General features: G+C 41.1%; 1 long non-coding RNA gene across 4 annotated transcripts in view, besides 3 other annotated features; it reads left to right on the top strand.

The window, feature by feature from the left end:
* BHLHE40-AS1 (BHLHE40 antisense RNA 1) overlaps positions 1–22014 on the top strand; it is an 83153-nt gene that overhangs the window by 58275 nt on the left and 2864 nt on the right. For 3 of the 4 annotated variants that reach the window (NR_125916.1, NR_037903.3, NR_125915.1), the window contains one exon: positions 20990–21146. This is a non-coding gene — a long non-coding RNA (BHLHE40 antisense RNA 1). Of the gene's footprint in view, positions 1–15185; positions 15312–20989; positions 21147–22014 lie in introns of those variants that run through there. The other variant, NR_125914.1, reaches the window with a different exon arrangement.
* Positions 4267–4895: an enhancer, noted in NCBI's record as "NANOG-H3K27ac-H3K4me1 hESC enhancer chr3:4958477-4959105 (GRCh37/hg19 assembly coordinates)". NCBI's record gives its function as "activates a minimal SCP1, AML or CMV promoter by ChIP-STARR-seq in naive H9 embryonic stem cells {active_cell/tissue: H9 hESC(naive)}" and the evidence as "EXISTENCE:reporter gene assay evidence [ECO:0000049][PMID:30033119]".
* Positions 14830–15535: an enhancer, noted in NCBI's record as "NANOG hESC enhancer chr3:4947837-4948542 (GRCh37/hg19 assembly coordinates)". NCBI's record gives its function as "activates a minimal SCP1, AML or CMV promoter by ChIP-STARR-seq in primed H9 embryonic stem cells {active_cell/tissue: H9 hESC(primed)}" and the evidence as "EXISTENCE:reporter gene assay evidence [ECO:0000049][PMID:30033119]".
* Positions 15053–15192: an enhancer, noted in NCBI's record as "active region_19361". NCBI's record gives its function as "activates an Ori minimal core promoter by ATAC-STARR-seq in GM12878 lymphoblastoid cells {active_cell/tissue: GM12878}" and the evidence as "EXISTENCE:reporter gene assay evidence [ECO:0000049][PMID:35858748]".

Below are 22014 nucleotides of genomic sequence, written 5' to 3'. Positions count from 1 at the left end.
ATTGTAGATTCTGGATATTAGCCCTTTGTCAGATGAGTAGGTTGCGAAAATTTTCTCCCATGTTGTAGGTTGCCTGTTCACTCTGATGGTAGTTTCTTTTGCTGTGCAGAAGCTCTTTAGTTTAATTAGATCCCATTTGTCAATTTTGGCTTTTGTTGCCATTGCTTTTGGTGTTTTGGACATGAAGTCCTTGCCCACGCCTATGTCCTGAATGGTAATGCCTAGGTTTTCTTCTAGGGTTTTTATTGTTTTAGGTCTAACGTTTAAATCTTTAATCCATCTTGAATTGATTTTTGTATAAGGTGTAAGGAAGGGATCCAGTTTCAGCTTTCTACATATGGCTAGCCAGTTTTCCCAGCACCATTTATTAAATAGGGAATCCTTTCCCCATTGCTTGTTTTTCTCAGGTTTGTCAAAGATCAGATAGTTGTAGATATGTGGCATTATTTCTGAGGGCTCTGTTCTGTTCCATTGATCTATATCTCTGTTTTGGTACCAGTACCATGCTGTTTTGGTTACTGTAGCCTTGTAGTATAGTTTGAAGTCAGGTAGTGTGATGCCTCCAGCTTTGTTCTTTTGGCTTAGGATTGACTTGGCGATGCGGGCTCTTTTTTGGTTCCATATGAACTTTAAAGTAGTTTTTTCCAATTCTGTGAAGAAAGTCATTGGTAGCTTGATGGGGATGGCATTGAATCTGTAAATTACCTTGGGCAGTATGGCCATTTTCACGATATTGATTCTTCCTACCCATGAGCATGGAATGTTCTTCCATTTGTTTGTGTCCTCTTTTATTTCCTTGAGCAGTGGTTTGTAGTTCTCCTTGAAGAGGTCCTTCACATCCCTTGTAAGTTGGATTCCTAGGTATTTTATTCTCTTTGAAGCAATTGTGAATGGGAGTTCACTCATGATTTGGCTCTCTGTTTGTCTGTTGTTGGTGTATAAGAATGCTTGTGATTTTTGTACATTGATTTTGTATCCTGAGACTTTGCTGAAGTTGCTTATCAGCTTAAGGAGATTTTGGGCTGAGACGATGGGGTTTTCTAGATAAACAATCATGTCGTCTGCAAACAGGGACAATTTGACTTCCTCTTTTCCTAATTGAATACCCTTTATTTCCTTCTCCTGCCTGATTGCCCTGGCCAGAACTTCCAACACTATGTTGAATAGGAGCGGTGAGAGAGGGCATCCCTGTCTTGTGCCAGTTTTCAAAGGGAATGCTTCCAGTTTTTGCCCATTCAGTATGATATTGGCTGTGGGTTTGTCATAGATAGCTCTTATTATTTTGAAATACGTCCCATCAATACCTAATTTATTGAGAGTTTTTAGCATGAAGGGTTGTTGAATTTTGTCAAAGGCTTTTTCTGCATCTATTGAGATAATCATGTGGTTTTTGTCTTTGGCTCTGTTTATATGCTGGATTACATTTATTGATTTGCGTATATTGAACCAGCCTTGCATCCCAGGGATGAAGCCCACTTGATCATGGTGGATAAGCTTTTTGATGTGCTGCTGGATTCGGTTTGCCAGTATTTTATTGAGGATTTTTGCATCAATGTTCATCAAGGATATTGGTCTAAAATTCTCTTTTTTGGTTGTGTCTCTGCCCAGCTTTGGTATCAGAATGATGCTGGCCTCATAAAATGAGTTAGGGAGGATTCCCTCTTTTTCTATTGATTGGAATAGTTTCAGAAGGAATGGTACCAGTTCCTCCTTGTACCTCTGGTAGAATTCGGCTGTGAATCCATCTAGTCCTGGACTCTTTTTGGTTGGTAAACTATTGATTATTGCCACAATTTCAGATCCTGTTATTGGTCTATTCAGAGATTCGACTTCTTCCTGGTTTAGTCTTGGGAGAGTGTATGTGTCGAGGAATGTATCCATTTCTTCTAGATTTTCTAGTTTATTTGCGTAGAGGTGTTTGTAGTATTCTCTGATGGTAGTTTGTATTTCTGTGGGATCGGTGGTGATATCCCCTTTATCATTTTTTATTGTGTCTATTTGATTCTTCTCTCTTTTTTTCTTTATTAGTCTTGCTAGCGGTCTATCAATTTTGTTGATCCTTTCAAAAAACCAGCTCCTGGATTCATTGATTTTTTGAAGGGTTTTTTGTGTCTCTATTTCCTTCAGTTCTGCTCTGATTTTAGTTATTTCTTGCCTTCTGCTAGCTTTTGAATGTGTTTGCTCTTGCTTTTCTAGTTCTTTTAATTGTGATGTTAGGGTGTCAATTTTGGATCTTTCCTGCTTTCTCTTGTAGGCATTTAGTGCTATAAATTTCCCTCTACACACTGCTTTGAATGCGTCCCAGCGATTCTGGTATGTGGTGTCTTTGTTCTCGTTGGTTTCAAAGAACATCTTTATTTCTGCCTTCATTTCGTTATGTACCCAGTAGTCATTCAGGAGCAGGTTGTTCAGTTTCCATGTAGTTGAGCGGCTTTGAGTGAGATTCTTAATCCTGAGTTCTAGTTTGATTGCACTGTGGTCTGAGAGATAGTTTGTTATAATTTCTGTTCTTTTACATTTGCTGAGGAGAGCTTTACTTCCAACTATGTGGTCAATTTTGGAATAGGTGTGGTGTGGTGCTGAAAAAAATGTATATTCTGTTGATTTGGGGTGGAGAGTTCTGTAGATGTCTATTAGGTCTGCTTGGTGCAGAGCTGATTTCAATTCCTGGGTATCCTTGTTGACTTTCTGTCTCGTTGATCTGTCTAATGTTGACAGTGGGGTGTTAAAGTCTCCCATTATTAATGTGTGGGAGTCTAAGTATCTTTGTAGGTCACTCAGGACTTGCTTTATGAATCTGGGTGCTCCTGTATTGGGTGCATAAATATTTAGGATAGTTAGCTCCTCTTGTTGAATTGATCCCTTTACCATTATGTAATGGCCTTCTTTGTCTCTTTTGATTTTTGTTGGTTTAAAGTCTGTTTTATCAGAGACTAGGATTGCAACCCCTGCCTTTTTTTGTTTTCCGTTTGCTTGGTAGATCTTCCTCCATCCTTTTATTTTGAGCCTATGTGTGTCTCTGCACATGAGATGGGTTTCCTGAATACAGCACACTGATGGGTCTTGACTCTTTATCCAACTTGCCAGTCTGTGTCTTTTAATTGCAGAATTTAGTCCATTTATATTTAAAGTTAATATTGTTATGTGTGAATTTGATCCTGTCATTATGACGTTAGCTGGTGATTTTGCTCATTAGTTGATGCAGTTTCTTCCTAGTCTCGATGGTCTTTACATTTTGGCATGATTTTGCAGTGGCTGGTACCGGTTGTTCCTTTCCATGTTTAGCGCTTCCTTCAGGAGCTCTTTTAGGGCAGGCCTGGTGGTGACAAAATCTCTCAGCATTTGCTTGTCTATAAAGTATTTTATTTCTCCTTCACTTATGAAGCTTAGTTTGGCTGGATATGAAATTCTGGGTTGAAAATTCTTTTCTTTAAGAATGTTGAATATTGGCCCCCACTCTCTTCTGGCTTGTAGGGTTTCTGCCGAGAGATCCGCTGTTAGTCTGATGGGCTTTCCTTTGAGGGTAACCCTACCTTTCTCTCTGGCTGCCCTTAACATTTTTTCCTTCATTTCAACTTTGGTGAATCTGACAATTATGTGTCTTGGAGTTGCTCTTCTCGAGGAGTATCTTTGTGGCGTTCTCTGTATTTCCTGAATCTGAACGTTGGCCTGCCTTGCTAGATTGGGGAAGTTCTCCTGGATAATATCCTGCAGAGTGTTTTCCAACTTGGTTCCATTCTCCACATCACTTTCAGGTACACCAATCAGACGTAGATTTGGTCTTTTCACATAGTCCCATATTTCTTGGAGGCTTTGCTCATTTCTTTTTATTCTTTTTTCTCTAAACTTCCCTTCTCACTTCATTTCATTCATTTCATCTTCCATCACTGATACCCTTTCTTCCAGTTGATCGCATTGGCTCCTGAGGCTTCTGCATTCTTCACGTAGTTCTCGAGCCTTGGTTTTCAGCTCCATCAGCTCCTTTAAGCACTTCTCTGTATTGGTTATTCTAGTTATACATTCTTCTAAATTTTTTTCAAAGTTTTCAACTTCTTTGCCTTTGGTTTGAATGTCCTCCCGTAGCTCAGAGTAACTTGATCGTCTGAAGCCTTCTTCTCTCAGCTCGTCAAAATCATTCTCCATCCAGCTTTGTTCTGTTGCTGGTGAGGAACTGCGTTCCTTTGGAGGAGGAGAGGCGCTCTGCGTTTTAGAGTTTCCAGTTTTTCTGTTCTGTTTTTTCCCCATCTTTGTGGTTTTATCTACTTTTGGTCTTTGATGATGGTGATGTACAGATGGGTTTTCGGTGTAGATGTCCTTTCTGGTTGTTAGTTTTCCTTCTAACAGACAGGACCCTCATCTGCAGGTCTGTTGGAATACCCTGCCGTGTGAGGTGTCAGTGTGCCCCTGTTGGCAGGTGCCTCCCAGTTAGGCTGCTCGGGGGTCAGGGGTCAGGGACCCACTTGAGGAGGCAGTCTGCCCGTTCTCAGATCTCCAGCTGCGTGCTGGGAGAACCACTGCTCTCTTCAAAGATGTCAGACAGGGACATTTAAGTCTGCAGAGGTTACTGCTGTCTTTTTGTTTGTCTGTGCCCTGCCCCCCAGAGGTGGAGCCTACAGAGGCAGGCAGGCCTCCTTGGGCTGTGGTGGGTTCCACCCAGTTCGAGCTTCCTGGCTGCTTTGTTTACCTAATCAAGCCTGGCCAATGGCGGGCGCCCCTCCCCCAGCCTCGCTGCCGCCTTGCAGTTTGATCTCAGACTGCTGTGCTAGCAATCAGCGAGATTCCTTGGGCGTAGGACCCTCTGAGCCAGGTGTGGGATATAGTCTCGTGGTGCGCCGTTTTTTAAGCCGGTCTGAAAAGCGCAATATTCGGGTGGGAGTGACCCGATTTTCCAGGTGCGTCCGTCACCCCTTTCTTTCACTCGGAAAGGGAACTCCCTGACCCCTTGCGCTTCCCAGGTGAGGCAATGCCTCGCCCTGCTTCCGCTCGCGCACGGTGCACGCACCCACTGGCCTGCGCCCACTGTCTGGCGCTCCCTAGTGAGATGAACCCGGTACCTCAGATGGAAATGCAGAAATCAACCGTCTTCTGCGTCGCTCACGCTGGGAGCTGTAGACCGGAGCTGTTCCTATTCGGCCATCTTGGCTCCTCCTCCGAGAGCTTTTTTTTTAATTTAAAAATCACAACACTTGAGAATTTCAATTAATCCCATAATTAAGAAATGCCTACTCCATGTAGGTGCTCAATAGGTATTCTTGTAAACCAGGACACTGGTTTTCATGATTGCATTTTGCTATGTTCATAATCAATCCCTGTATTCCACAGGACCCTGGGAAATTATTTGATAACTAGGTCACTTTTTCTTTTTGTAAAGGGTTGAATTGTGTCCCCCTGCCAGATTGATGAAGTCCTAACCCCCTATCCCTCAGTAATTCAGAACATGGCCTTGTGGCCTTATTTGCAGATTGACAAACTGGTTGTTGCAGATGTAATTAATCAAGTTAAAATGAGATCATTATGGTGGGCCCTAAACCAATGTAAGTGGTATCCTTATAAAAAGGGGAAATTTGGCTGGGTGTGGTGCCTCGCACCTGTAATCCTAGCTCCTACGGAGGCTGAGGTGGGAGGATCGCTTGAGGCCAGGGGTCAGAAACCAGCCTGGGCGACACAGTGAGACCCTGTCTCTAAAAAAGTTTTCTGAAAACCCAGCTGGACACGGTGGCGTGCACCTGTAGTCCCAGCTACTTAGGAAGCTGGGTCGGGAGGATCTCTTGAGCCCAGGAGTTCAAGACTGCAGTGAGCTATGATTTTGCTACTGCACTCCAGCCTAGGAGCCTGGGTGACAGAGTGAGAGACTCCATCCCTTTAAAAAATAAAATAAAAAGATAAATTTAGACACAGAGACACATAGGAGGAATACCATGTGAAGATGAAGGCAGAAATTGGGATGTTATGTTGTCTACAAGCCAAGGAACAGCAAAGATTGCCAGCTAAACCACCAGAAGCTTCCAGAGAGGCCTGGAACAGATTCTACCTCACAGCTTTCAGAAGGAACCAACCTTGCCAACATCTTGACCTTGGACTTAGCCTCCAGAACTTTGAGGCAATATATTTAAGCCACCCAGTCTGCAGTACTTTGTTACAGCAGCTCTAGCAAACTAATACACTTGGTGACCCTGACCTGGTAATCAATGCCTTGAGCAATTATAATATCCTATAAAAAAGAGAAAAAATTATAATATTCTATACAAAGAAAAGAAATCACAGGGTTACTCTTGTGTATATGTCAGAACCATGACTGCTATGGTTTGAATGTTTGTGTCCCTCCAAAATTCATGTTAAAACTTAATCCCCAATGACCAGGCATGGTGGCTCACACCTGTAATCCCAGGACTTTGGGAGGCCGAGTCTGGCAGATCACTTGAGGTCAAGAGTTCTAGACCAGCCTGGTCAAAATGGTGAACCCTTGTCTCTACTAAAAATACAAAAATTAGCTGGGCATGATGGCACTCGCTTGTAATCCCAGCTACTCAGGAGGCTGAGGCAGGAGAATCCCTTGAATCTAGGAGGCGGAGGTTGCAGTGAGCAGAGATCATGCCACTGCACTCCAGCCTGGATGACAGAGCAAGACTATGTCTCAAAAAAAAAAAAAAAAGGGCTTAAGGAAGGCTATTTAGCCCCTTTTTGTCCTTCCACCAAGTGACAACACAGCAGCAAGGTGCCACCTATGAAGCAGAGAGTGAGCCTTCACTAGACATTGAATCTTCTGGTGACTTGATCTTAGAATTCCTGTCTCCAGACAGTAACAAATAAATTTCTGTTTCCTTATATATTGTCCAGTTTAAGATATTTTGTCATAGCAGAAGGAATGGACAAGGACAATGACCAGTTGAAAAGGTCTATTTTTTTATTCCTTGAAAATTCTATATCAAGCCAGACACGTTTTCTGAACTATGCAGGGGATACTTTGCTGCTAGTGTGTCTCTGGTAGGTCTTTCGTGCATATGTACATTGGCACGTGTGTGCACTCACAGGCACGTGTAAGTGAATTCTAACTCATTCTTTCAATAGATTACAACTCTTGATACCAAAAAGACAGACTAGAACTCACTATTCTCTAACTGAATTTAAATCTCTTCGCTGTTTCAGCATACATATGGTCACATCTACAATACACAAAAATTATATTCAGACTTTTGAGTAAAAATCTCAATAATTGCTCACACTTCCTATACGGATATCAGAAAGATATCAATCATAGAAAGCTATACAGGGACCCAGTTAAGTAGAAAATGCTTCTGAGGAATATAGATGCCTAAGATGAACACTGATCTGCTAAAAATTTCCATTCATTTCTAGCTTTTGCTATAATCTTAGAATGTGGAACTCTTAATCATGTTGTACTTCTATCATTTTTTAAAAAAACACAGATGCAAAAATACATTTGTTTGGTTCAGATGCATGATTTCAGAAAACTATATGAATCTAGCGGTTTTATAAGAACTGCTTCATTTATTTTAACAGTACTGTTTTGTTCTTTGAATGAATTTCCTCACCTGTGCCCTGATGATTTCTGTGGTCCCTTCCATTTATAAAATGCTGTCAGTCTCATTTAAGTCATGGCATATCTACTCATTTCTTTAGGGATGCTTCTGGAATCATCGATAGTTATCTCACAATTGTCATAGTGCTAGCATGAATTCTTCAAACATGACCCTTTTCAAGGGTGACATTCTGACATAAGCCTTTGGAATGGCTCTGTGTCCCCACCCAAATCTCTCGTCGAATTTTAATTCCCAATGTTGGAGATCGGGCCTGGTGGGATGTGACTGGCTCACGGGGGTGGTTTCTAGTGTCTTAGCACCATCTCCCTAGTGCTGTCTCATGATAGAGTTCTCACAGGATCTGGTTGTTTAAAAGCATGTGGCACCTTCCCCCATTGCTCTCCCTCTCCTGCTGGCCATATGAATATGTGCCTGCTTCCTTTTTGCCTTCTGCCATGATTGTAAGTTTCCCGAGGCCTCCCCAGAAGCAGAAGCCTATACAGCCTGCAGAACGGTGAGCCAATTATACCTCCTCTCTTTATATTATTTTTTTGAGACTGAGTCTCACTATATAGCCCAGGCTGGAGTGCAGTGGCACAGTCTCAGCTCACTGCAACCTCCACCTCCCAGGTTCAAGCAATTCTCCTGCCTTGGCTTCCCAAGTAGATGGGACTATAGGCACATGCCACCACACCTGGCTAATTTTTTGTATTTTTAGTGGAGACGGGGTTTCACTATGTTGGCCAGGCTGGTCTTGAACTCCTGATCTCGGGTGACCCACCTGCCTTGGCCTCCCAAAGTGCTGGGATTACAGATGTGAGCCACCATGCCCAGCCTTTTCTTTATAAATTACCCAGTCTCAGGTGTGTCTTTTTTTTTTTTTTTCTTTGAGATGGAGTCTCGCTCTTTCACCCAGGCTGGAGTGCAGTGGTGCGATCTATGCTTACTACAACTTCTGCCTCCTGGGTCCAAGCTATTCTCCTGCCTCAGCCTCCCAAGGAACTGGGATTACAGGCATGTGCCACCACACCAGCTAATTTTTTGTATTTTTAGTAGAGATGGGGTTTCACCATGTTGGCCAGGCTGATCTCAAACTCTTGACCTCAGGTGATCCACCCACCTCGGCCTCCCAAAGTGCTGGGATTACAGGCGTGTGCCACCGCACCTGGCCAGGTGTGTCTTTATAACAGTGGGAGAATGAACTAATACAGCCTTCATCAATGATTTCTAATAACAAAATTATCTTGCAAACCTATTGAACAAGTCTGGCTTTCATTATCAAAAATTTAACTTTCCATGCCTCTGATTATATACTGTGATTAAAAACACAGAAATTAAGAGAAGATCAATAGATCTGAATAAAATGGGGACAGTAACTAGTTTTTATGCTTATTAATGAGTAGAAATTTATGTATATCTGGATGTCTGCTATGAAAATGTAAGCATAATGCATGTTTCTGCTTGAAAAGAAGGTCATCTTGCAAAGATTAAGGGTTTTTGCTTGTTTTGTTTTTTGTTTTTGTTTTTCTTTTGAGATGGAGTCGTGCTCTGTCCCCCAGGCGGGAGTGCAGTAGTGCGATCTTGGCTCACTGCAACCTCTGGCTCCTAGGTTCAAGCGATTCTCCTGCCTCAGCCTCCTGAGTAGCTGGGATTACAGTGGGCAGCATGACGCCCGGCTAATTTTTTTTTTTCAATAGAGGCGGGGTTTTGCCACGTTGGCCGGGCTCGTCTCAAACTCCTGACTTCAAGTGATCTGCCCACCTTGGCCTCCCAAAGTGCTGGGATTACAGACATGAGCCACCGTGCCCAAGATTAAGGTTTTAAAACAGTTCCTTTTTGCAAAAGGTAAAGTGACTGGCGATACATGAGGAGCTCGTGTTCATTCTAAAGACAAGTGTGGTTCATAATTAGATGCCACAGGGCCAGTGACAAAACTCTTACACTTGTCATTGCAGTTACAGTGGCTTCCTTAGGTGCACCATTTGGAGTGAAAAGTCATTATACATAACATTCAACTTCTATGGTGGTAGAGGAAGAATGGAGACTTCAGATTTTCTTCTTCAGATTCACAGTGTTATAAAGACAAACAAATGAAATCAAAATGAACTGCTAGGAGCTCAAAGTACATAGCTCTGACAGTATCATCCTAAAATACTGACTTCGCCCAGTCCCATGGAAGTTCTAATAAACACCAGAGGAGGCATTCATCCAGGGATACAATTTATCCCATAAAAATAGTCGTTTTTTAGGGATGCTTCTGGAACTATCAACAGTTATCTCACAAACAGTTCAGAAAATGATTCCATAGTTTCTAATTTATCTTTTCAAGTGTATGTCCTAAGAGCCCAACTCTGGTAATCACATTTTCAAAACCCAGAGACATGTAAGTAGAACTGTGACTTACGTCACAAAAATGATAATAACCAGTGATCACGTTTAATCTGATTCCAGATTTTCTAATAATGTTAGTGGCATTACAGTGTTTGGCTTCAAGAAATGATGTAAATAACACATTTTTAAAAAGCCAACGTTTTTATGATCTCATTTTATATCTGTCAACTCAGGTTATTCAAGACATCCATCACTGTATATTGAACATTGGTCCATTCATTTGATTTTGCTTAGATCCACGTGCTTCTATTAAAACCTGGGCTTGAATTATGACAGTGAATTTTTTAACATTCACACATGTGGCAAACAGAATTATTTCGATATTTACTAATTCATTTGTTTTATAATCTTACTGGTAGGTCAGGCTGCCAAATGCAAGCTCGGTGAGACTTTATAAAGGCAGGGAAGGATGAACTATTTAATGTCGTTAATTATTCCTGTTTTGTTCACAGTGATAATCTGTCTTAAGACACCCCAAGACACACCCTGAGTTTGGACTCTGCTCTCTCCTTAAACTCTCCAATATTAGCAGATATGCAAGAACTCAGGAAGACAACTGTTGATAAAGTATCAGCTAGTATCCAAAAAGATCTAAGGCCCATATGTATCTGAACATAATCACATCCCTCATCTCACCCTGCAATAGAAGGAGTGCTCCTTTACCATGCACTCACCTGAGGATGTGCAGTCTGTATTCCTCTTTAAGTGCTGGGCCATGTTTACACTGTATATGTGCACTCCCCCTTCCAAACCTGGTATAGAGTGTCTGGATGCTCTCCCCTTCCTTACTTCAAACCTCAGCTTGGATATCACTTCTTCTGGGAAGGCTTCTTTGACCATGCTAAGATGGGGCGGGGGTCAGGGCTGCCACATTGCACAGCTGCAGGGGACATCATTCAGCAAAGTCTCAGGATACAAAATCAATGTGCAAAAGTCATAAGCATTCTTATACACCAATAACAGACAAACAGAGAGCCAAATCATGAGTGAACTCCCATTCACAATTGCTTCAAAGAGAATAAAATACCTAAGAATCCAACTTATAAGGGATATGAAGGACCTCTTCAAGGAGAACTACAAACCACTGCTCAGCGAAATAAAAAAGGACACAAACAAATGGAAGAACATTCCATGGAAGGGCATTGTGTTTCAAGTGAATCCTGACCCCTCTGGTGTTAGGCCATGGAGCAGCCCTCTCACAGTGCTACCTCTGCCTTGGTAGCACTCTGGGTTTACCTCTTCCAGGGACTTCACTGCTGGATTGTAATTGCCTGTTTCCTTGTCTACCTCTCTCAAGGGCAGGGACTATATCATAGAACACTGAAGTTTACGCAGATGGTGTGCTCAGTAAAAGCTACTAAAGGATTGAAAGTGTTGTTGAGTTGGGTGGCCCTGGGTCCAGCATTTCCTGAGGGGTGGCCCCGATCAGCCGGTTGCTGTGGTCTTGTTTTGGAAGAGGGCGCTACTAAACCCATATAGAGGGCTTCCTATTTCTTGTTGCTTATGAATATCACCTACTGCCTGGCCCCGGGGCCTTGTGTACTTTCTCAGAGAATGGGACCACGTTGGGAGCTAGAATGGGAGAAAGAGGGGCTGAATAAATCCAGGCATCCCAGCCCTCTTACAACCCCTTCTCTTTAATGAGAGAGACTTGTAAGTCCTAAGTCCAATTTTTAGTGACAGACGATTCTCTAATCAAGAAGGTCTGACTTAATATTTATTTATTTAATGAGCATATAAATATATACGGAAGTATCAAAAAATCATTGAAATCAAAAAAGTTGGTTCTGCTTTGTGGAAAACAAATCCTTCTGCTGTAGTATATTTTTCCATTAAAAAAAAAAGTTGATTTTCAGAGTCCTGCCAACAACATTCTAAATGTAAGTGCTAGATTTGCAAATAGGCTTATATTCATATTTAGAGAATATGCATATTCAGAGACTTATTATTCAGGAAATATTTGGTTATCTTCAGACTAAGTAAAACTTATGGCTAAAAATAAGAGGGGTAACATATAAATAGTGGGGAAAGTTAGGGAGCATGAACAGCAGCCATGGCAAGAATAGAATTGAGAGGAAGAGGTACAGAGAACTGCGTGTTATTTTTCTGTTTTGGTTTTTGTCTTCACCACTACCTAAAATTCCATTCCATTCCATTCTATTCAATGTAACAAACATTAGCTGGGTGCCTGGCACGCAGAAGATCTGAAAATGCAATTTTTGCCCCCATGTTCTTAGAGCTGGATGGGCAAGATACAATGGAATAAGGTTGCCTCTCTGACATCCTCTCCTCCACCATGATGTAGCCACTCTGTAGTTATGGGGTTGGACTTCAGTTCCATGGGTAGCACTGACTGGTGTAAACCTGTCAAGGTAGCCCTACTCCCTGCCAGCAATTGGTTCAGATACCCAGGCTCAAGCCTGGCATGGCACTCCTTAGGCAACAGTGGCTGGTTCAGGAATGGTGTGTGACTCTGTTTAGGCCAAGGAGATAAAAGGGAGTTTTCTGAGGATTCCAGAGAAAGTTTCCTGGCTACAAAAATAGAGAATAGACAGTAGAGTATTCTTCTTATAGTCCCTTTTGGGCAGGGATAGGAGGCCCTGAACCATTGCATCCTCTTGCTGTTTGTCTCAGGATAAACATCGTAAACACAAATCAGTAGAGTCAATAAAATCACAGAGAAATAGATCAAGAACTCTGATCCAACTTTGCTTGAACCTGCACTACTCCTTAACTCTTAGTTCCATGAGTCAGTAGATCTTTTTTCTCGTTAAGGCGGTTTGAATTGGCTTTTCTCATTCTAACTGATGCAAGTGATAAGCGCACTGGTACCTGCAATGCTTGTCAGGAGATGGATGACACATAATAGAAAGATTACCCAGGAAAACAAAGCAAGGTCTAGCGGGGATGAGATCCCGTACCTAGGAGTAATAGAATGCAAATAATAAAAATATTGTTATTTGAAAGTTAAACTGGGCCCACAAATATGAATTAATATCTAACAAAACAAATAGCAAACATTAAATAAGAGAAACCTAAGTTGGAAATGAATCATAGAATTTGAGAGTTAGACAAGATCTCAAAGCTTAGATAGGAAAACCCCTAGATTTCCTGTACAGAAATAGGTTCTGAGAGGTTAAGTAACTTGTTGAAAATCACACAGCTAAGTCAAGCGAGGCTGAGGACCCGGCTTTCTTGAATTCCAAATGGGGTTCTTTCTGCTGCATTACATAGTTTCCTCTCTGAAGATATAAAATGAAATAGGAAAATGGTATTTCTAAATGTCAGCATAGGAAGAAGAGTGAGGAAAATACTGCATTTTTATTTAACGGGGATTTGGGAGGCTCATAATAGAAATTTTGGATGTTTTGTTTTTAAATAAGACTGTGGCCTTTACTAAAAGGTTGAGCATATGCTACAGCATGGAACCACCTGGGGTAGCACTGTTGCTAAGCGCCCCACCAAAAGCAAGGCAGGGCTGGTTCAACCCATGCTCACCCCAAACTTGTGACCTGACTCCAGCTGTTCATTAGCTGGCTGTTGCTAAATTTAGACTCTGTACATTCTTTACAAGATCAAAAGTCAATCCATAAGGAGTCAGACCAATAGCGTATTCCACCTGCTGTCCACCCCAACACTGGCACTGTTTTTCTCACTTTCTTCTTCTACGTATTAAGTGAGGTAGGAAATTCCAACTGAACCACAGTGCTAAAACAGCAGTAAAACAGATCTCCAAGAACTGGATTCTGTCTCAGGTGTTCTATTTTAATTGCTCTAAGATCTTTAAACACATTGTTTTATCTCTGAGCCTCCATTTCCTTGTGTATTAAATAACAAATGCCCTGCCTCCCTTCAGGGTTGCTGTGAAGATCAAAAGAACTAATGATTGTGAAAGCAGTAGGCGAATTCTACAGCCCTGTGATCTAACTTCAGGCCCCTCAGTTTAAAGACAAGGGAGCCCCAAGCTACTGACGAGTTTCCTTAGGCCGCCCAGTCTCCTAGTGACAGGTAGAACTACCCCTTCCTAAGAATGAAGTGACAACCTCCAGGACAGAGATTCATAATTACATTCAAAACAGCCACAAGATTTGCTAGATCTATTCAATAGCTGCCTTACGAAGCTATATGTGAATGTGGGACTCTATTCCCTCTTTTTTAGTGATGCTCCAGATGTAATAAAACATTATACACAATGTCAAGAGAGATTGCTGCGAACAATCTAGCCCAATGATGTCCATTTCAAAAACAGTTTCCAGTGCTATTTTGCTTTCTGGCTAGTGAAAAAAGAATTCTCAAAGAACAAAAGGGAATTTTAACAAAGGAAATGGAATTATTCCTTGTGAACATGCATTCATATTACAGCCATTCAATAAATTGTCCTGTTCTTTAGAGCTTTTATAAATTCTCTTTTACCCTGAATTTGAGAGCCCTGCAACTTGAATACTTGAGGGATTGATTCACACTTACAGTCTCCAGGGTTAACAGTTTAAACAAGTGACACCTCTGCTTCACTAAAAAGGACTCTGAGATCTCACGGTCTATCATATTAGCATTCTTTCTACACTTTATGTATTTGTCTGTTTGTGGCTTTCCATAGAGGGAATTGAAGCAGCTTATACAAATATAGGCTCTGCTTAAGAATAAAATAAACTGAAATGAGTTTGAGGAAAGAAAAAAAATATGGCTAAGAAAATATAGGCTGGGTACAGTGGATCACGCCTGTAATCCCAGCTATTTGGGAGGCTGAAGCGGGAGAATTACTTGAGGCCAGGAGTTTGAGACCAGCCTGGACAACATAGTGAGACCTTGTCTCTAGAACAAACAAAAAATTAAAATTAGCTGGGCAGGGTAGCGTGTGCATGTAGTCCCAGCTACTCAAGAGACTGAAATGGGAGGATGGCTTGAGCCCACGAGGCCACGGCTGCAGTGAGCTATAGTCACCCACTGCACTGCAGCCTGGGAGACAGAGTGAGACCCTGTCTCAAAAAATAAGTAAAAAAGAAAATATGATGGTTTGCTAGATAGATATATGTATATGCATATTTGAATATGTGTGTGTGTGTGTGTATACATATACATACATACCCAATAGCCCAATTCACTTGCAAGCAGTAGAGGATTAAAAAAGACTAAGCCTCCTCACAGCCAGTGCAAAGACAAGTCATTGCTACCTGGTGATTGGCGTTTGGCTTATAGTCAGCAGCCTACGCTGGGCTAGAGAGAAGGGGTGGAAAGCAAGCTTGGCTTATAGCCAGTGCTGTGTATGCAGCCATATAGTGAATGCCTTCATTTGCACCCTGAACTCTGAATAGTCACTTTTAAAACATCCATCTGTCATCCATCTAGTGAGGTCAGGAGAGTGGCTGCTTAACTTCTGGGGTGAGTAATTCATCTACAGATTCACCTACCCCAAGCAAAGTGGGTAATATTTAAATTCAAAGCCTGCATTTGTTCTACAGAAACCACTTGCAGAGTCCGCTGCCTTGGTAATGTATTGCCCTAGGCAACTGCTTGTTCTGACTCTGTTCTTTTCCCAGCTGGAGTCATTGTTTGGACTTATTTGTATGAGTTAATGCTTCTTGGGTACCCAGAAACCTATTCCCAGAGCTCACTCATTAGTCAAGTTGGTTTTTTTCACTAATCAATTATGTTCTCTTTAAACTAGCTAATCTGAAGTAAAGCAAGTTAACTAATTTGGAGAAGGGTGTTTAAATCATTGTAATATAATGTTTTCATGAAAAGTGCTTCTGTGAATGAGAGTCAGGTTGTGTATGTGGATGATCCAAGAGGTCCTGGAATTTGAAGACTGGGTCCTTAGCTTGTGTTCCCACCTAGACATTTTCTTTCTTTCTTTCTTTTTCTTTTCCTTTTTTTTTTTTGAAACAAGGTCTTGCTCTGTCACTCAGCCTGGAGTGCTGTGGCGAGATCTCTGCTTACTGCAGCATATACCTCCCAAGCTCAAGCTATCCTACTACCTCAGAGTCCTGAGTAGCTGGGACTACAGGTGTGCACCACCACGCCAGGCTAATTTTTTTAATTTTTTGTAGAGATAGGGTCCCACTATGTTGCCCAGGCTGGTCTTGAACTCCTGGGCAAAAGCAGTTCTCCTGCCTCAGCCTCCCAAAGTGCCGGGAATACAGGTGTGAGCCAACATACCCAGCCCTCACCTAGACTTTCTTCCCTCTTCACGTGTTCTTCTTTGACAGCTGTGTCACAGAAACCGCTTCTACCCTTGTTGAAAGAAGAAACTGTGAAATGCCAGGACAATAGGTGTGCAGGGGGTGGTGAACTTGACATACATGAAATAGTTAAAGAATGGGCAGGACCGGTCGGGCAGCTTGACTCGGCAGTGTGTATAATCATTACTTTGTGATCATTTTTATAGTCGCCATCTGCTTACTAATAATGTTTTTAAAACAGGACCTTAATTCAACCTCTAGAGATTGCTTGTGTTAAATTATTTGGTCTATCTCACAACTGGTGAGAACTTTTCAAAGAAAATTTTTTAATTCATTTACACAGACTTGAATGTTTAAATTAGAGGAACATATCATCACTTTTATTTTAGTCACAGTTTCCTTCTCTTGTTTTGATGTGCTGTTTGACTTTTTGCCTTGCCAACCCAGATTCAACTGTCTTCAAAATATCTTCAGCTATCATTTAAAAAATCAGCTTTCTTTTCTTTAGATAATTCTGCAACATGAAGAATTAAAACAATATTGTCTAGCTGTGCTGTTGACTCTTGCGCAATCTTCAGGAAGCTAAATCATTTTCATGTGGCTGCTTAGGTTTTAGAGCAAGGTTCCCATAAGCATGTGCTCTTTTTTGGAGAATGAATGATGATAACTCTGTCTGTTTTTCTTTCCTATTCTTCGTGATATAGAAAATATAAGCTGTACAGAGGATATAAATTACTAAGAGTCTATATGCCTTTAAAAATGCATCTCCTAGTCAAAAGGTTTGTATAATTTTTGTTGAACAGTACAGTTTAGGAAAAGAAACTATAAATCTATAAAACTGATATCTATCAAAATATTTTCTATGAGTTCTAATTTTTTCTTGTCCATCTGTTGCCACAAACTTACAAATGAGAAATAGCAATTATTATGAAAGCACAAAAACCAAAGAGTGCTTCCTTCCAGTTTTGGAATAGGTTATATTATTTTGTATGTCTTCATCTAAGGATGTAAAATATCATTGGAAACCTCAATGACTCTATGAGGTAGATAATTTTGTATTGTTTTACAGATAAAGATAATGACATATTAAGAGGTTAATTAAGTCCTGGGATCATATTGTCACACCCAAAGGTGGATTTTAAAGTTCAAATTCAAGGATCAGAAGTACAATTGGCCACCAAACCACTTCAATAGGAATTTCCAGATTCTGACACCAAGGCTACATTTGACCTGAGGATCTGAAGTTTGACTGGCCAAAATTTTTCTCCATCTCTCCTGTCTTCCCTCCATTTAATCAAATACACTGTAGAATGAAAAATAGGTTTTGTAGCTGTCTTGCTCTCCCAAAGCTTTCATCTGTAAAACAGAGATTATAATACTAATGCTTATCTCACAGAGTCATTTTGAGGAGGAAATAATAACATGTAAAGACTTTATTATACGCCCAGTAACTTAGTAAGTACTGGACAGTCAGCCCTCCATATCCCCAAGTCTGCATCCAAGGACTCAACCAACCTCGAGTAGAAAATATTCAAAAAAATACAGATAAAAAATACAAATAAAAAACAGTGCAATATAACCCTATTTACATTGTATTAGGTATTATAAGATTACTTATAATTTAGAGATGATTTAAAGTATACGGGAAGATGTACATAGGTTACATGCAAACACTATGCCATTTTATAAAAGAAACTTTAGCATCTTGGATTTTGGTATCCATGAGGGGGTCCTGGAACCAATCCCCATGGATGCTAAGAGATCACTAGAAATGTTAACTACTATTATCATAATGATCAGCAAATAAAAGAATGAAATGAAGGGCGTCAAAACCTCTTACTTGCAGAAGGTTAAAAGAATGCTTGCTAGCTGGTGGGTGTGGGGATGAATGCTTATAGTACCAGCTACTCAGGAGGCTAAGGTAGGAGGATTGCTTGAGCCCAGAAACTTGAGGCCAGCCTGGGCAACATAGTGAGAAAGTGTCTACTTTTTTTTCCAAAAGACTGGAAGGAAGAGAAGACTCTTCTGTAGACATACAAACCTTGCAGCAGAAATTCTATCGATACTATTATTTTTATCTACCTACCTATTACCTAGCTAATATCTGTATATCAATTATCTGTTATTATCTATTTTCTACCTGTTATTATTATTGTTTATTACCCTATTATCCAAGAATAAAGTTTTTATCCTGTAATTGTCCCATTTACCCATGGCCAATTGACAAGGACCAAAGACTTTATCACAGAGATAACAGAAGAAACACTGAAGTGGTAGCCAGCAACCACTTATGAAATTGCCAATATTTGATGTCATTTTAACTAAATAAGCAGCAATTTCATATGATTCAGCCTAATAGACCTTGAATCCAGATACATCCAGGCAAAGGATTCAAAACCAAATCAAACAGTCTATTTTCTACTGTTTCTTCTCACTTATTTCCAAAATGTGAAACAACCATATAGTAAAAAACAATAGAATAGGAAATAGTGATTCACCAGAGCTGTTGGAAGTTTAGAAAGTATTGATATAATTAATTCAATACAATTTCAGTTGGTTGCTTTTCCATTTTCAAAAGCCATTTTAGATGTAGGAAATGACATTTTCTAAATATAAAATATAAGTAAATATCACATTATTTTTTAAAAAAAATTATAGCTATTTCTAGCATGAAAGCCCATTCTCTCTCTCTCTCTCTCTCTCTCTCTCTCTCTCTCTCTCTCTCTCTCTGTTGTTAAGACAGGGTCTCACTCTGTCACCCAGGCTGGAGTGCAGTGGCCCGATCATAGCCCACTGCAGCCTTAATCACCTGGGCTCAAGAGATCCTCCCACCTCAGAGTTGCAGGTAGCTGGGACCACAAGCCTGTGCCACCACATCTGGCTATTTTTTCTTTTTTAATTTGTTGTAGAGACAGGATCTCACTATGTTGCTCAGCCTGGTCCTTTGTCTCTAAATGGGATACAGATATTTGAACAGTTTATCGTAGATCAGCTTTACTTTTACAGGACAAGGTTATTTTTAAATAAAATTCTCTACTGCCTTAGACTGTATATTCTTGTTATGTGTTAAATATCTCTATTTTTGAAGAGAATTTTAACAAGATAATTTTATACCTCCTTCTCGCTGTTTTCTGCTTCCTTAATTGGTCACCTAGCTAATGGAGCTTTCTATTTGAAACATTGCAGCTTCCCTGTCAAGGGGACGGAGTCAACATGCTGTAATTATAGCTGTCTTCGAGGGTTGGATTATTATTCTGTCTCTCTGACTTTCATATAAACAGAGCAGCTACCCATTGTAGTGTATGTGCACTGTTCACCCAAACAGAGTAAACTCAGCCTGCTAACGACATGACGTGCCCTCCAACACACAATTACATTTCACGGCAGTTCAGAGGTTTTCCAATGTAACATCTGTAATACAATTTTCCCTGCCAAAGTTTTACAAATCGCACATTCTGGCAAATGATCAGCGATACCGAATCAACACTATTATTCACAGCTGGATCTCCTCAGGAAAATAAGTTGGAATATTAAGCTGAAGTTTTCTGAAAAGCTCCCATGGTACCTTTGCTGAAGAGATGTTAAACCAAACAGCTCCTGATATGGAAACAGCGGTTTGAACTGTAACTCAGTTAGATAACTTAATAGGGGAAGGCTATGATGTCATGATGCAGGAAATGACTAAACTTTTTTTTTTTTTTGAGACCGAGTCTCGCTCTGTCACCAGGCTGGAGTGCAGTGGTGCCATCTTGGCTCACTGCAACCTCCAACTCCCTGGTTCAAGTGATTCTTCTGCCTCAATCTCCCGAGTAGCTGGGATTACAGGGACGCGCCACCACGCCCAGCTAATTTTTGTATTTTTAGTAGAGACAGGGTTTCACCATGTTGGCCAGGATGGTCTTGATTTCCTGACCTTGTGATCTGCCCGCCTCAGAAAGTGCTGGGATTATAGGCATGAGCCACCACGAAATGACTAAATATTGCTTTGCAGTATTCCTGGATTTAGGGAGGGGGTGTGAATGGCATTGTGTGGGCACTGATGGTAACCCAGGTCAGTGAGACTTTAAAGGGACCATTACTTTGTCCTTCTTTCTGGAGTTTCAGGCATTAAAAATGTTAACTTGTGGCTGGGCATGGTGGCTCATGCCTGTAATACCAGAACTTTGGGAGGCCAAGGCAGGAGGATCACTTGAGCCTGGGAGTTCAAGACAAAGCCTGGGCATCATGGTGAAACCCTGTCTCTACAAAAAATACAAAAATTATCCAGGAGTGGTGGCATGCACCCCTGTAGTCCCAGCTGAGAGGTGGGAAGATCCCTTGAGCCTAGAAGGTTGAGCTACGGTGAGCCATGTTGCTGCCACTGCACATCAGCCTGGGTGACAGAGCAAGACCCAGTCTCAAATAATAAAATAAAATAAAGTGTTAACTTGTCCAAGATCCTGTTTCACAGCAGTCATTGATGAGACAAATGAAACATTTTGGGACACCTTAAAAAAATCCCATCAGTGTGGCAGAGCTAGTTTTATTATCCCACTTCCTAAAAAGCCATGAGACCTCATCAGCCATGGAAGAATCTATGTAAAGCTGAAGGAATTTGGCCCTTTAATGATGCACAAAGACGTATGCATGGATTTTGCAAGTTCCTACTTTCACCTTTATAAATGCTGGGTTTCATCCATGTTTTAATTGACTGGAGTTTTAAACAAAATAAATACAGATACCATAGTGTGTAATTTTAGAGATTTTTTTAAGTACAAAAATGTATTTGGGCCCCAAAATGTATTTGGACTATGTGCTGCAATTGATCTTTCACCATATGAGAAATCCAGGCCCCAGCTGATTTTTTGGAGTTAAGAATGATTTTTTACATTTTTAAAGGGTTGCAGAAAAGGAAGAAGAATCAGCAGAGAGCATTTGTGGCCAGCAAAGCTTAAAATATTTCCTAACCGATCCTTTGCAAAAAAAGTTCACCCACTCCTGTAGTCAGCAGCTCCCCTACTGTGCGCAGTCAGTGTGCCATCTCAGACTAGCAAAGGTGAGTAAAACCATCCCTGCCCCTAATCAATTTACAATCTGCATCCTCAGGGCAAGAGCCTAGTAAGCAAAAGGCAAAATAAGATGGCGCCAGATAAGGGCTTCAAAGGAAGAGAGACCAGGTTTGGTGGGGAAATAGGGGGTGGCTTCTTAGCAGGTTTTCTTTAGATGAACCTTGAAGATAAAAAGAGATTTTGATGAATAAGGGTGGGTGAGATGCAGAGGGGGTCAGCGCTGTGTCCTGGAACCAGTGAGTGATTCCATTTCAGAAGCACCCGGGGAGGCTAAAGGGTAGATTCTAAGGCCAGAAAGAGAGGAGAAGGTCGTAGGCTGGAGACCATGATGAGGAGTGTATACAGAGGGAGAGAGGAGAGATTCCTGCACTTAGAGGCCAAAAGGACAACAATTTGCACTTTTACTTTGGTGTCGGAAAGAACCGTAGTCTCATATGGTTACACGGAAGTGTTTTATGATAATCAGTGAAAAATGAGGAAAATAGTCTCTCTTAGGCTGAGCACCTAGGAAATGAGTGGCTCTTGGCTGTAAGTCAATGAACAGCATTAATATATGCAGTTACCAAGTCATCATTAACACATAAAGCACTGCAGGGTTTCAATCGATTCATCAGAATTCTTGAAAGTCCTATTTTAAGGCAGTTCAAACAGAGGCGAGGCAGCTGAACCTGGTGAGGCTGCCAGGAACAGCGAGTTCTGCCTCTGAATTTGCTCCTGACTCAGTGCCTGACCTTGGGCAAGCACTCAACGTCTCACTATCTCAGTTTCCTCAGCCATAAAATGGGGATAACAGACCTTAGCCACCTCATAGGAGTGTCATAAATGTCTGCAAAAACCTTTCAAGGTAAGTGCTCC

This window comes from Homo sapiens, chromosome 3, assembly GCF_000001405.40.
Source record: "Homo sapiens chromosome 3, GRCh38.p14 Primary Assembly".
In the NCBI taxonomy this organism is placed as follows: Eukaryota; Metazoa; Chordata; class Mammalia; order Primates; family Hominidae; genus Homo; species Homo sapiens.
This window is presented reverse-complemented; position numbering and strand designations above follow the sequence as displayed.